This window comes from Homo sapiens, chromosome 3 (assembly GCF_000001405.40).
Source record: "Homo sapiens chromosome 3, GRCh38.p14 Primary Assembly".
NCBI classification, from domain to species: Eukaryota; Metazoa; Chordata; class Mammalia; order Primates; family Hominidae; genus Homo; species Homo sapiens.
In genome coordinates, this window is record NC_000003.12 from 19,471,299 (window position 1) to 19,483,858 (window position 12,560).

General features: G+C 37.1%; 1 protein-coding gene and 1 long non-coding RNA gene across 6 annotated transcripts in view; one reads left to right on the plus strand and one right to left on the minus strand.

Annotated features, from left to right (window-relative positions):
- KCNH8 (potassium voltage-gated channel subfamily H member 8) overlaps nucleotides 1-12,560 on the plus strand; it is a 387,133-nt gene that overhangs the window by 322,789 nt on the left and 51,784 nt on the right. The gene's annotated exons all lie outside the window — the stretch shown is intronic.
- Nucleotides 1-12,560, minus strand: part of LOC105376982 (uncharacterized) — a 97,844-nt gene that overhangs the window by 82,176 nt on the left and 3,108 nt on the right. The gene's annotated exons all lie outside the window — the stretch shown is intronic.

Consider the following 12,560-nt stretch of genomic DNA (forward strand, 5'->3'; position numbering starts at 1 on the left):
ATGAAAAACAACCTACTGCTATATCCACCAGGAATCCGCATACCTGCTCTACGGTTACTTGGCAGGAAGAGGGGGATGTGGAGCAAGGGTCGTCCATTCCATGCTACATTCTGGATAGTTGTTTAGGCCTATGAAGTGCAGTGTTTGCCCTCTGTAGAGTTCTTCTGCAGGCTGGGTTAACAAAGCCACACACTCACGACAAAGGCTCCATGAAAAGAGGATGATGTACATACTGTTGATAGTATAGTAGCTCCTAGGAGCCAAGCTGCATGCTAAGCACTTTACAAACATTAACTTATTCTCACAACAACTTTAGAAATAAGTTGTATAAGTTTATGCTCTAGATAAGGAGACTAATTAAGGATGAAAGAGGAAAGAAAAACTGGTCCAGAATCCTTTAGCAAGTAAGCAAGGGAGATCAATTACTGGAATTTAAGTCCCAAACCACCTGACTTCAAAACCCAGTTGAAACTTAGTATAAGTTTATCCATCAAAACAAAGTTATTGATTCATGGTCAGTTGCCTAATCCTGTGATTACTGAATGCCAGCTAAGTTAATGGAGCATTCATAGGAAACATGTTTCCATGGGAGAATCAGCTTCATGAGCCAAATACGTAAGTAAAAAATGAAGCACAGCACTTTTTGATAATTTATTAAGCTGTACACTTTTGACTTATGCACTTTTTTCTGTATGCTATACTTCAATTAGAAAGTTTTTTAAAAATGAATTATAAGAATTCTACCAAGTTACAAGTGAATAATTCAGTTGTGCACATATGATTTCCTTGAGAACAGTTACTGTATTTTAATTCATTTTTGCAATTCTTTTTTTAATGGGATTGCTGGTACAAAGTATGTGCTTGATGAAAGCTTATTGGAATTTAATCACTTCATTCGTGTGTGTGTGTGTGTGTGTGTGTGTGTGTGTGTGTGTGTGTGTGTGTGTGTTAATGTCCACAGAATAACAGAATGTTAGAACACAAAGGCACTTTATATACCATCCAGTAAAGCTTTTTCTTTGGTGATATGGTCTGGCTCTGTGTCTCCACCCAAATCTCATCTTGTAGTTCTCATAATTCCCACTGTTGTGGGAGGGACCAAGTGGGAGATAATGAATCATGTGGGCAGGTCTTTCCTGTGCTGTTCTTATGATAGTGAATTAGTCTCATGAGACCTGATTGTTTTATAAGGAGTTTCCTGCACAAGCTCTTTTTACCTGCTGCCATCCATGTAAGATGTGACTTGCTCCTCCTTGCCTTCCACCATGATTGTGAGGCCTCCCCAGCCATGTGGGACTGTAAGTCCGTTAAACCTCTTTCTTTTGTAAGTTGCCCAGTCTCAGGTATGTCTTTTTCAGCAGCATGAAAATGGACTAATACAATTGGATAACAAGTGGCATAAAAATTCAGTCACTGATTAGATATATAATATAAGTGAATTACATACCTACGTTAATCAGAATATCTCCTTTGCAGAGAGGACATTCACATTTGGGTAAATCTCCCATGGGCATCAAGCATGTGTTTCAAATAAGATTTAGTCAAATAAACAAAATACATCTCATCTTTTTTTACTTTCTATTGTCAACTGAATATTTAGTAGCATACCTACTTGCTACATAGAGGTAAGAATGTCAATGTTATTAAGTATTATGAGCAAGGTAATTTGTTTATATTACCTTATTTAATTTAACTTTTAATCCTTGCATTGTTTCTGGGAGTTCGGATTATTTTTTGGCTTCCCAAACAAGGGAACTGAATATCCAAGTAGTTTACTGCCTGAGATTACAAAATTAGTGAAAGAATCAAACAGAATAAAATCAAGTCAAACTCATGGTCTTCTGCATACAAGCCTAATACATTTGTCCACTAACATAATCTGCCACAAATCAGAGAGAAATGGGTTAGTCTTCTTCTGATTTATAGCATAAGCTATACTGAATTTCTGGAATAACATTCAGTTTAATTTTCTTTAACTTAATTCTATTGCTTGTCATATCTCATCAGAAACCGACTGGAACTAAACATTTTAGGAAAGACATCTGATTAACAAGAGGACAAGTAAGGTGACAAAATATCCATACCTTGGCCATTTGACTTGCCTGCTCCCCTTGTATTTGTGCTCTTATTTGCTTGTAAATCCATCCATTTATTAAATAACCCTATGGTCACAGACTGGCTCTGGGAGAATTTCTTCCAACTCAAGTATATGTTTTTCAGTCTGCTATTTACATTATTGTTCTTCATCCTTCCCTTGCTCCATCTTTAAGAGTAAATTTGTGAAATCACCACTCCACTATCATTTCAAATGTAAAAAACAGTATTTTACTTTCTTCCCAGACTGTTTCATTCTTGTAAGAAGATGCAGGTCTTCTTATTAGTGGAAATAAATGAAAATCTCTTTGGAGTGTGAATGTATCATATTTGCCAACCAGTAACACATTCTGAGAACTTCTTGTATACACACACAAACTGATGCACACACATACATTTATGTAGAGGGATTGAGAACATAAGTGAAAGAAGCAATGTCTTTAATTTAGATTTTCATTCACATTTTTCCGTCAACCTGCAAATATTTTACCTGTGGATATGGATATGTTAGGACTTTTTAAAACGTAATTCTATTATGCTTTCTGTCCAAGAATTATGCTTTTTGTCCAGGATTTTAAGAATAATCCTGAAGGTTTTATCATGGTAAATATTTCACTGTTTGAGGCTGTGCCAGGATAATAACATTTCACAGGTCATCCTTAGGCATGTGGGGCATTTCTTCTGTTGGCCCTCTAAATCCCAAACCAGTTATCCCTTTAATCCCAGTTCTCAAACTCAACTGTTAGATTTAGTGCATGGTATGATTAAAACTGTCTACATGAGCTAAGTTGATGGAAATTAAATTTAAATTTAAAACAAATTGCAAAATCCCAGGATAAACATATTTAATAGTGCTTTTCCCACAAAATTCCCCAAAAGGGTGTAGACAGCAGAGAGGATGACATATGGTGGAGGCAGTCTGCTTACAGCGCAGCACAGACTGTGCTCAGCAGGCAGATCTGGAGGCCTCCAGTTTGATCAGATTCAAGGCATCTATTTGCTCACCATTTAAACCCAGCATGCCAGGATGCCAAAAGAGCGGCAGCTTTGAGTGGAGGAAACAGCAGCCAAGTCATTAGAAATACAAAGCAAGCTAAATTTCAAATTAAGGGGAAAACTGAAGTACCTCGAAATTATGAATGTGAAGGCCAGCATGTGGTGATGACAACTCTGTAAGGGTCAGGGGACCCAGGAAGATGCATTTCTGTCAAATGAATTGGGATTCAAAGGGTTTGGTTTCCAGGTCATTGAAGAAAATAATTAAGGAAAATTCTGATATGAATGTATACAACATACTAAACATTTAATGATGTAATTCCACTTGTATTTTCCACTGTTAAGATTAATGTCTTTGAAAGCGGAACATATGATGACTGATTCGTGTGACTGCATTTTGCCAGCATTCATAAACAGTCCCGAGTCTGATTATTGCTAATGAAGCATATTTATATCCTAGGTTATACAGTTTACATTTTCCTTTGAGGCTAATATTCAGTCTTCCATCTTGATAGTACAAAATGTTAGCATCATATATAGAGAACAACGAAATAGGATTCTATCAAAAAGAGCAATGAAGAGGATCCAGAAATCCTGACTATTAGACTCAATACACATACAACTAAGGCCAGAATTGTTCCTCCAAAGAATCTAAAGCTTTGAGTTTCCTGCAACCCCCAAAGAAACAACTAAACAAGCACAGTTTGATCCAAAAGATTGGAAGCTTAAAGGGCCAGAATTGCACAAATTTTTGTAAATATTCATTGAGGCATCATCCTTCCAATGGGGTCACTTGTCTATATTTTGCTAAATGAAAATAATAGTCTTAAGGGAGAGAAAAGCTTGTCCTGAAAAGAGGCTTCATGTGTATAACTGAATGATGACTTTGTACAGAATCTATAAATAACTAAATTAAGTAGTTCTGTCTATTCAGAAGTTATGCCCATTCTAAGTGAATTTGCCTTGTTCACTGTTCACGTTTTTACAAAGAGAAGCTCCTCATATCCCTGTGATTTTTCCCAAATTTGGAAATGCTGACTTTGTAACCAGGTTGCCATGTGATAACTCTAAATGCTTGTCCAAATAGTACAATTTCAGGAAAAGAACCATTGATTCACCCTTCTTCCCACAAATCTTGTCCCTAATTTCCTCACTGTTTATTTCAAAAGGTTAAGAAAATGTCTATCCTATGATGAAAGCTCAGGCTCAAAATATAAACTCACTTTAAAAATTAATATAAAATACACGAGACTGTGTAAATAACTGGAGAATAATTTCTCCCCCATGGAAAACATGCTCCACAAGGAAACATTCTTGAGAAAGAGACCGAGGGAAGGAAACTAGAGATTTATCAGGCATATTTTATTTATGACATAATTCTTGTTCTGGGAAATTCCTTCTTTAGGAGAACTATTATTGAGGGAGCAAAAATGTCAAATCAGATGTGTTTCATTCTAAATTTCAGTGGCTTGTAATCCCATTACGAATTCTCTCAAAGACTTGTTTTTAGTCAATATATAACTAGCCAGTAACATCTTCCTTCTGATGCTCCACGCACCAATTTTGAGTACAATACTGTAGTATAAGAAGATTGGCCATACGTCTACTACCTGTGAGAATATCTTCCTCACCTGAAAATGACTATTTGGTAAAAGTGCTAATTCTATGATGAATAATTCTTCAATCTTAAGTTTCGAAGATTTCTTTAAGTAAAACAATTATGCATTTAGTCATGTGGAGGATGCATATCACCCCACTATCATGACCCTCTATTAGCCCTCTTCTTCTTTTGTGGCTAATTGAGCTTAACCGAGGCAATATATTTCAAATCAGCAAAGTAGTTTATTTCAGTTTGCTGGTTCAAACACTATCTTCAACAGACAAGGAGGTTCAACTTTTTTGTTGCAGTGTATAATTGACAATGGGCTTCCTAGGCAGCAAATTAGGCATTTCGCATTAACGCTAAAGTGCCACAGGGAGTTGTGATGCGCAAACTTCTTGCACTAAAGTGAGCATCTTTCTTAACCGACCTGGTTTGAAACCTAAATACTCGGTGGGTATCCTGAAAATCTTATGAAACCGTCTATTGTGTTTCTTTACAATTACACAGTAGCTGACTTTACAAGCTAAGTAGGAGCCATTGTACCCTAATCAGAAGCGGGTCACTGGGGGGCATGGGATCTCAGCTTAATATAATGAATTTAAACAGTGTAAATTCTTTTCACACAGATTACCCTGCTGAATTCCCAAATCATTGATTTGGGGCATAGCTTCTTAAGCTTGAAATCTTTAAAACTCTTACATCATTGCTGAGAGATTTGTAGTCAGTTTTCTTCACATAATAGTGTGTATTTTTCTCCTTTTTCCTTCTAGAATGATATGAGCCACGTATTAGTAAATAACCCTCTTTCCCTCAAAATCATCCTGCATTTTCCAAGCTTTTAAATAGGTATCAAGAAACTTCTTTGGATTTTCTTTCAATTTCAAAGCCTTGTAGTTTAGGTAATTGCATCCAAAGATAACCATTCTTGAGTTGATTTGTATATATTGTCAATGTCTTATTGACTGTATTCACACCCATGAACAGTTTTACTTTATTTAAGTAAAGCATATGAAGGGACTGAGAAAGAAAAATATGGAATGCCTGGCCATTTCTTTATATAAAGTATTCTTCCTAGTGTTGTGCAAAGAAAAGTGTGTTTTGTGGCATGGCATGATAGCCCTTTTGCTGGGAGAAGAATTTTAGGAAAACTGTTATTTAAGTATATGGCCTATTTATTAAGACATTGTACATATTTATTGAGCAAGTGGGACGGACCCATGCATGTGAATGTTGAGATAATCATCACCCAGCTAAATGACTGATGTAAAATATCATAATGCTCCATTCCCAACATGAATTCAATTCAAAGAAAACTTTTATTCATAATCAATATATCAATAAAGTATAATTAATATTTATAAACAAGAATTACTCTTGATGCCAGACATTGGACCGAGAACTTAACAATGAATGTGAGGATTTTTTTGGTTTTCTTTTTTTTTTTTTAACTGTAATTTCTATGTGAGAATTCCGTGTGGAAGGGGACCCTGAAGTTGAAGGGATATGAGGCTTACACTGCCCAACAGGCTCCAAATGCTTTCTCTCTGGAGAAATGAGAGACCTGGAAGGCATGACACTATCACCTCTAGCATGACACTAAGACCTCTAACAGGAATGCTTGGAATTATGGCCAGGTGGAAGCAACAAACAAGGAATCCAGAAAGAGTTTCAGTGAGAGAATTAAGAGAGATGCATGATTATTATTGCTAATAAAATTAAAAAGGAAGGTTAATCTTAAGATGTCTTACTATGAGTTATCAAATACATCTTCTTCTTTAAATCTATTTATTTATTATTTACATTTAGGAAATACAAGTACAGATTCCTTACATTCATATATTGCATAGTGGTGAATTCTGGGCTATTCGTGTAGCCATCACCTGAACAGTGAACATTGTACTCAATAAGTAATTTTTCAACCCTGACCCCCTGGCACCCTTTTTTCATCTCCAATATCTATTATTCCACTCTGTATGTCCATGTATACCCATTGTTTAGCTCCCAAGTGAGAACATGCAAGTATTTGACTTTCTGTTTCTGAGTCACTTCAGTTAGGATAATGGCCTCCAGTTACACCCATGTTACTGCAGAAAACATAATTTTATTTTTTATGGCCTAGTAGTATTCCATGGTTTATATACACAGTTTAGGATTCATAGGCCCATTTTCTTCATCTGATCCTCCACTGATGGGCCTATGAATTCTAGATTGATTCCATATCTTTGCTATTGTGACTAGTGCTGCAATAAACTTATGAATGCAGGTATCATTTTGATGTAATGATTTCCTGCCCTCTCGGTGTATACCCAGTAGTGGGATTGCTGGATTGAATGGTGGTACTATTTTTAGTTTTTGAGAAATCTCCATACTCTTTTTCATAAAGCTTGTACTAGTTTACCCACCAACAATGTATAAGCATTCCTTTTTCTCCACATCCTCAACAACATCTGTTGTTCTTTGACTTTTAATAATAGCCATTCTCACTAATGTAAGATGGTATCTCATTGTGGTTTTAATTTGAAATGCACCCCTTTTAAGGGTCTTGAAAGACACACACAAACAAAAATTAGAATTACATTTTAATTACATTTGGTTTCTATACTGCATTTCTCTTAAATGTAACACAAGCCAAATGTGGCCAACTGGATCTCCATTCAGTTTTCACATATATATCTCATTTAATTCTCGAAACAACTCCAGTTATTGCCATCACTTTTGAGAAGAGGAAATGAACGTTCCCAAAATTTGACTGTAAGACTAGTTCTAGCCACTAAAATGTAAATAGAAGTCATGTGTCACCCTAGGCTGGGGTAGTCATGTGCCCAGTATGCCTTCCCCATACTGTCTCCTGAGCTACCTATTGGATAATACCAGAAAAATCCTGAGACCACAAAACAGAAGCAGCCTAGGTCCCTGAATCACCTAGGGATTATGTTAGCGGAGAACTGCTGGACATATAACACTGTAAATGACTGAGAAATAAAGTTCTTTTGTGTAAAATTTAGAACATTATTGTTAACCCAGCATTACCTCCTCTATCAGAATTAATATGTTTCTTAAGGTTACATAGCTAATAATTGGCAGGACTAGGAAAATATTAATCACTATGCTACCCAACCTCCTAAGTGGGTTCCATCCCCTGGCGCACAGACCTTTTACTCTAACATACAGCAATGGAGAGTTTGCGGGGTGCCTCCTACAATATGAACTCAGTAGCTGATTCTCCGGCTCTCGTCCAGAAACTCTAAATTCAGAGCTCAATTACTTAACTTGTACTTCTGTATCAGAAGTGATACCATTTACCTAGTGGAAAAGAATTATCCTCTAAGTCTTAATAGTTAGTCTTGATCTCAAAACTCAGGATGAAATTGGAAAATGTTAAAATATCATCAGTTCTTTCATTAAAAATGTCATTTCTAAGTTACACAACAAGCAAAGGAAATATAGTAGAGACTCTGTTACTCATTTAGGGTTTCAGGCCATCCTCAAAAAATCTCTTCTTTAGATTAGATGGTGGTGAAATGTCAGATTTGTTTACTTAAACATTAGTGCTCCCTTATTCAAAGCCTATCCTTTCTCCAGAGGTTTCCATTTACTGTTCCCATTACCACCTGCCATGGGTGTTATTTACTATTTATGGGCACCTCCAGATGAGTCTACAAGAGGAAGAAACAGATCAGAAATGAGAAAGAGACCTGCTGATTTGCTGTGTCTCTATTATATGATACTTATTATGATTTTGCAGGAGTAGACATTTTAACTATGAGAGTCGTGGGTTTATTTGTGAGTACGCTTCATTCATATTCTCTTTATCCCAAACAGTCACCAATACTGGTTATGTTGCTGTCCAGTGAATAAGATAAAATATGGAATGATCTCTTTCTCTGAATGGGAACACATGTTCCTCCAATCTGCTTTGTGACTTAATCAGTGTCATTATGATTGAGGCAGAAGATACCATGAATCAGTCAGAAAGAAGAGTCTTATAATACACGTCTCACTTCCCAATTGAGCATTCAGCTGTAGATAATGTTCCTGCTGGAGCATTTAGTGTCTTATGAGATTCCTTATTGAGAGGACATTCTCAGACTCAAACACGGGCTTGTAAATTCTGACCTATGCACCACGTAAACAATGCAAATAGATTTCCTATCTTCCCTGGGCCACTGTTGTACTAGATTACAGTTTAGGTTTCATAGGTCCAGGCTGTGGGTTCTGCGATGTTTGCTTCTTTCCTGCTTCGCAGTAGTCAACTCCCTGGTGGTTCAGCCTCTTGAAAGAAGCTTGAGAGTAAGCTTCCTTCTGCCTCAACAGGACTGAAAAACCACTCAAAATCCTTCCAAAGGTGAAGCATTAGCATCCCATAAAAGGCTGGGTCCCAAACATTGTTACTATAGTATCTTCTGTCAGGATTCAGAGGCATTTAATGAGTTAGAGAAATAGATGAAATAAATCAAAGGACTACCTTCCCAACTACAATAATTAGTGGAAATTCTAATATTAGGAACTTTTACCATTGAGGAATTTAAGAATTTAAGGCAATTATAGGTTGAATAGCCAAAGTCAGGTATGAGCCTATGAGAGCTCTTATAGAAATGTCTTCATTCAGTAGAATAAAGACAACATTAGAGAATACAATAGCACTTTTCACTTCTAAAATTGCTATCCATGTGCCTGGTATGCTTGCTTTCATTTGCAATTCAAGCTCAATAGTAGAATGTTGAGGCCTTCTCTCCACAGTTTGAGAAAAAAAGAGTTGTGAATTTGTTTTGCTTTTTTTGTTACAGATAGTATGAGTACTAAGAAACTATATTTTCTCTGTCTGGTTCTTCATGCCAAAAAAACAATTATCTTTCCAATTTAAGAGTCCTCCCTCTCAGTTCCCACTGTATTCACAAAGTGATAGAGCAATTTAGGTGGTTAGGATTGGGAGAGAAAGGAGAAGAAAAGCTATGGGGAAACTTCTTAAATCAACTGACTGTGGCTGAGATTATCTTTCTTTCCCACTCTATAAGGTTATAAAGCCTTCCTGCTGTTCAAAATAACATTGTGCCAAGACAAATCTTTCTTTCCCATGTTTGGCTTCTTCCATCCTAATAGATGGAAGGGCACAATTCTAAGGTCTCAGTAGGCTAGCCCTCAATCTTCTTTATCTCTCTCAAGACTTCATTGATTTTGTTGTTTATTTATATAAATTTATGGGGTAGAAGTTTAATTTTGTTACATAGATATACTGACTAGGGGGAATCACTGCTTTTAATGTATTTATCACCTAAATAATATATATTATACTCATAAGTAATATCTTATCCTCCCCAAAGGCTTCATTGCAATGAGCTCCATTTCTCTCTTTTGTCTAATTTACTTCCTTTTTGTTTCTCCAACCTCCAAAAGTCTAGTCTTTTTTTTAAAAAAGTTATCCCCAGTAGAGATTAGAGATGACTAGAAGTTCTTCATGTTGTGTAAAGGATATAAAAATTTTATGTAGAAGGGACTCAAAATTGGATAAGACTGCCCTCTTCAAAACATTTAAAACTTCTGAGTCCTCTTCTAGATGTTAGAACAAGAAAATTGGGGTCAATAAAGGTTTTCTGTTCAAAGTTTCATGCATTTTTTTCTTAAGGAGAGAATGTCTGTAATGTATCACATTTCCAGAAAAATCTATGACACAGAAAAGGTTAAAGCAGTGCTTGAGCAACCTTGCATCATGAGCTATTTGGGTCGGCTTTATGGGAATCATCAAAACCCTGTGCTGGATTAAATTCTACAGTACATCAGGCATTTATTCTTTCAGCTCAAGTAACAGCATTAACTGCTGGAGAAAGTACCTGAGAAAACTTATGGTTGGGTAAGGAACACTGAGAGTCAGGATGCATGGCCTGTGACAGACATTCTGTTCTTAACTTGATGGATGAAGTTGCAGCAGGATGAGCCACAGACTAGAACCCCTCAGACAACAATTTGTAGAAGGAAAGGGCTTTATTCACCTGGGAGCATCGGCAGACTCACGTCTCCAAAAACCGAGCTCCCCGAGTGAGCAATTCTTGTCCCTTTTAAAGGCTTACAACTCTAAGGGTGTCCATGTGAGAGGGTCGTGATCGATTGAGCAAGCAAGCAGGCAGTACGTGACTGGGGGCTGCATGCACCTGCACCGGTAATTAGAATGGAAGAGAACAGGACAGGGATTTCCACAGTGCTTTTCCATACAATGTCTATAATCTATAGATAACGTAACCCATTAGGTCAGGGGTCAGTCTTTAACTACCAGGCCCCAGGGTGTGGCGCCGGGCTGTCTGCCTGTGGATTTCATTTCTGCCTTTTAGTTTTTACTTATTCTTTCTTTGGAGGCAGAAATTGGGCATAAGACAATATGAGGGGTGGTCTCCCTCTTTATTCCCCTCCCTTTGAGAACCTCACTCATTAGTGGGAGTTTTCACTTTTATTTTTACTACCTATGTCTTTTTGCAAGACAGATCGATAGTAATTCATACAGTACACTTGTGCCAAAGCATTTTTGTGAACTAAGGTAGCAGTGAAGCTTTTTATCATTTGAAGAAGTACAGGTAGTAAACAAGGAAGCAATAAGCAGGTTCTTATTACTATTATAACTCTTATTATAAAAGTTTTAAATTCTCCTAGCGCTGGGAGCCATTTTTTAAACATGGCCTTAGGATTAAATCCATGCCACACTTGCACAGGCACATGTGTCAGTTTTGTCATATTTTTAACTATGTCTTCAACTACTTGTCCTTGATCATCTATGTGTAGACAGCAATTAGTAAGGTTAAATTTCCTACAGACCCCTCCTTCAGCTGCTAGCAAGTAGTAGAGAGCTAATCTATTTTGATAGATAGTATTTCTCATCTGAGTTTCTTGCCAGAGCAGAATAGTCAAGGCTCTGCCGGTTTTATTAGTGATTATTTCTAAGACAGCTTGTAACCGTATGATTTGATTGATCCTGTAAATGGGAGTCTGGTATCCCCACGAGCTGTCTTGTGTCTAAGTAGCAGGCCTATGATATTGTATGATTTTTTTTCAGGGGGCTATTTTTTTTTTAATTTTTTATAACTATGCTTCTCTTTTTGTGGGAAGCATAGACAGGGAAGCTAGGAGTTTGCCTGTTTTTATGGGCAGTAGGAAGAAAGATGGTTTAAGAGTGCCAATAACACAACTACCTGCCCACTGGTCAGGTAATTTCGCATAAGCTCTATGCCCACATATCCAGTATAATCCAGTGGGGGCTGTCCAGTCCTGGTGGGACTCCAGGTAGGTCCACACGGTTTGCAACTTTGGGAATTTACTAAATGGATTCCTTTTTGTGTGATTTGAACTCCACCCAGTGACTGTTTTCGTGTTACCACTATACAGTTTCTGTCCTAGACAACTAAGTCATCCTACAGGGTGAGTGGATTTTTTTTTTCTAGCTATGCAATACTGTCCAATAATTGAGGCTTTTAGGACTAGAAATTGTCAGGGTGATTTTTCTGAGCCGGGAATTCATCAGGAACTGGGTCTGTAGGTACTAATTTTCATGCTTCCTATGGCTGTTGATCTCCTGTTACAGTTTCTCCACATACATAACATGAAGTGACATTGAGAAACTGGGCTACATGCTCGGCTAATTGCAAAAACAAATTTCTTGGGTTTTTTTTGGAATTTCTGGTACTGGCACATTTAGTTCATCATAGAAAGTTTAAAACACTGGCTCAGGAGAGCGTTTGTAAACTTTTCCTGAAACTAAGATATTTACTCAAGGATCCAGTCTGGCCCCATCGATTCCTAAGGTCACACGTTCCCCTTTTTTTCACTGAGGATCAAGGGGATTGGTTATTACTAGCTCTAAGGAGTTACATTGTCCCTTAGTACA